We start from the raw sequence: 3,803 nt of genomic DNA, 5'->3' as shown, positions 1-3,803 counted from the left end.
TCCGTGAACATTGAGTTGCAGATAGCTCTGCAATGTGCTGATTTCATTTCCTTTAGGTACATACCCAGAAGAGGAATTGCTGTATCGTACTGTAGCTCTTTTTGAAAATTTTGTTGAGGAAGCTTCATACTGTTTTTCATAATGGCTGTAACAATTTACATTATTATCATCAGTGTAGAAGAGTTCCCTTTTCTTCACATACTCACCAACACATCTCTTGTCTTTTTGATAGTAGCCATCTAACACCGAAATCGGTATGAGTTAATATCTCATGGTGTTGTATTTCTTTGATGATTAGTGATGTTGAGCACCTTTTCATATACCCATTGTCCATTTGTATATCTGCTTTGTAAAAATTTAGGTCTATTTAGGTCTGTTGTCTGATTTTTAATTTTTTTATTATTGAGTTGTCTGAATTTCTTATATGTTTATATGTATATGGCTAGCAAATATGTTCTCCTATTTTGTAGGTTACTTTTTCATTCTGTTGATTGTCTCCTTTGCTGTGGAAAAGCTTTTTAGTTTGATATAGTTTAACTGGTTCATTTTTGATTTTCTCACCTGAACTTTTGGCGTGATATCTAAAAAATCATTACCCAGGCTAATGTCATGAAGAATTTCCACTCAATTTTTTGTTTGGTGTTTTACAGTTTTGGGTCTTATGTTCAGGTCTTTTAATACATTTCAAGTTGATGTATGGGGTTAAAGAAAGTTCCAGTTTCTTCTCTTGTCTTTTTTTTTTTTTGCTTGTGGATATCCGCTTTTCCCATTACCATTTATTAAAGAGACTGTCCTTTTCCCATTGTGTACTCTTGGTGCCCTTGTGGAAAATTAGTTGACCATATAGGCTTGAGTTTATTTCTGGGGTTCCTATTCTGTCCCCTTGGTCTTTGTCTGTGTTTATGCCAATACCACACTGTTTTGATTATTATAGCTTTGTAATATAAGATGAAATCAGGAAGTATGATGCCTTCATTTGCTTTTTTGTCTTAATATTATTTTGGTTAGGAGGGGTCTTTTGTGGTTCCATACACACTTTAGAAAAGGTTTTTTTTTTTTGTTTTTTTTTTTTTGTATTTTTGTCGAAAATGCCATTGGATAATTGTTAGGGATTGCATTGAAATTGTAGATCACTTGAATCACTTGGGTAGTATGGACACTTTAACAATATTATTTCTTCCAATCCATGAATATAGCTTATCTTTTCATTTATTTGTGTCTTCTTCAATTTTTTTAATCAGTCTTTTATAGTTTTTAGTGTATGGATCTTCTACTTACTTGGTTAAATTTATTCCTAAACAGTTATTTTTTTAGGTATTGTATATGGGATTGTTTTCTTGGTTTTTTTTTTTTCATAGAGATTATTATTGGTGTAAAGAAATGCCACTGAGTTTTGTATGTTGATTTTGTATCTTTCTACTTTGCTGAATTCATGTATTATTATTTTTGCAGATTCTTTAGTATTTTCTACATATAGGATCATGTCATCTGCAACCAGGGAAAATGTTACTTCTTTTGATTTGATTTGGATGGTTTTCATTTCTTCTTGTCTGATTGTTCTTGCTAGTAATCCTAGTACTATACTAAATTTGACAGATATTTCTTGAGTGCCTGGAGCTAAAAGCAAACAAACAAAAACAAAAAGACAACAACAATACACACAAATGGAAAACATATCTCTCAGCCTTTCCACATTACCTGTGTTTCGGAGTTCTACTTCCGTATTTAGGCTTGCTTGCACTGATTCCAATATTCAGCCCAAAATGAAAACTTAGGGTTCTCTCTGTGTTTTCTAAGTATGCATCTTACCCTTGGCATTTATGTTGCTTCATAAATTCCTTGCTATACATAGGTGCTGTTGAATTTCCCAATTTTCCAAAGAAATTTTTCCCAACTTTAGCTCCCAGGCCTTACACATTTTATTATATATTGCAACATTAATCTTTTGTCCCAGATGTTGATGGGTTTTTAGTTGGGCTTGCAGTGTTTTTGAGTGGTGCCTCTTGCTTTTTCTTAGTGAGTCTGAGTTAGGTGAAACAGAGATAAGTTCCTTTTATCAATAGCCTGCCACAGACATGCTAGAATAGACATAAATGATAATCTGCAAATAAGGTCTGCTCTGTTCCTTTGGCACCAGTGATCAGAGTCTTACACTGGGAATGTGGGCTAAGGCTCCTGTTGTGGCAGGGAAGACTTGGAATAAAGGCAAATAAAAATGACCCAAAGCTTTCCTACTGTTTTGAAGTTGCTTTTATTCTTAATTCAGTGTTTGCTTGATTGTTGTAAACCTTTGACTGTTTTCCAGTTCTGAAACAGTTGGTTTTGACAGTTTCTGCTTGTGTTTAATTTGTTGGGGTGGCGGTGGGCACAAAAAAAATGAGAGCTGCCTACTCTGCCACTTTTCTCTGAAGTGTGTCTTGAAGTTCCTTTTTTTTCCTTCTAGATTTTTTTTTTTTAAATTATACTTTAAGTTCTGGGATACATGTGCAGAACATGCAGGTTTGTTACGTAGGTATACACGTGACATGGTGGTTTTCTGCACCCATCAACCCGTCATCTACATTAGGTATTTCTCCTAATGCTCTCCCTCCCCATCCCCTCACCTCCCGACAGTCCCTGGCAGGTGATGTTCCCCTCCCTGTGTCCATGTGTTCTCGTTGTTCAATTCCCACTTATGAGTGAGAACATACGGTGTTCGTTTTTCTGTTCCTGTGTTAGTTTGCTGGGAGTGATGGTTTCCAGCTTCATCCATGTCCCTGTAAATGACACAAACTCATCCTTTTTTATGGCTGCATAGTATTCCATGGTGTATATGTGCCACATTTTCTTTATCCAGTCTATCATTGATGGGCATTCGGGTGGGTTCCAAGTCTTTGCTATTGTGAACAGTGCTGCAATAAACATACGTGTGCATGTGTCTTCACAGTAGAATGATTTATAATCCTTTGGGTATATACCCAGTAATGAGATTGCTGGGTCAAATAGTATTTCTGGTTCTAGATCCTTTAGGAATCGCCACACTGTGTTCCACAATGGTTGAACTAATTTACACTCCCACCAACACTGTAAAAGTGGTACTATTCCTCCACATCCTCTCCAGCATCTGTTGTTTCCTGACTTTTTAATGATCGCCATTCTAACTGATGTGAGATGGTGTCTCATTGTGGTTTTGATTTGCATTTCTCTAATGACCAGTGATGATGAGCTTTTTTTCATATGTTTGTTGGCCACATAAATGTCTTCTTTTTAGAAGTGTCTGTTCCTATCCCTTGTCCACTTTTTGATGGGGTTATTTGTTTTTCTTCTAAATTTGTTTAAGTTCGTTGTAGATTCTGGATATTATCCCTTTGTCAGATGGATAGATTGCAAAATTTTTCTCCCATTCTGTAGGTTGACTGTTCACTCTGATGATAGTTTCTTTTGCTGTGCAGAAGCTCTTTAGTTTAATTAGATCCCATTTGTCTATTTTGGCTTTTGTTGCCATTGCTTTTGGTGTTTTAGTCATGAAGTGTTTGCCCATGCCTATGTCCTGAATGGTATTGCCTAGGTTTTCTTCTAGGGTTTTTATGGTTTTAGGTCTAACATGTAAGTCTTTAATCCATCTTGAGTTAAATTTTGTATAAGGTATAAGGAAGGGGTCCAATTTCAGTTTTCTGCATATTGCTAGCCAGTTTCCCCAACACCATTTATTAAATAGGGAATCCTTTCCCCATTTCTTGTTTTTGTCAGGTTTGTCAAAGGTGAGATGGTAGCAGATGTGTGGTGTTACTTCTGAGGCCTCTGTTCTGTTCCATTTGTCTATA

Source organism: Homo sapiens, chromosome X, assembly GCF_000001405.40.
Source record: "Homo sapiens chromosome X, GRCh38.p14 Primary Assembly".
Taxonomy (NCBI): domain Eukaryota; kingdom Metazoa; phylum Chordata; class Mammalia; order Primates; family Hominidae; genus Homo; species Homo sapiens.
Note: the sequence above shows the minus strand (reverse complement) of the source record.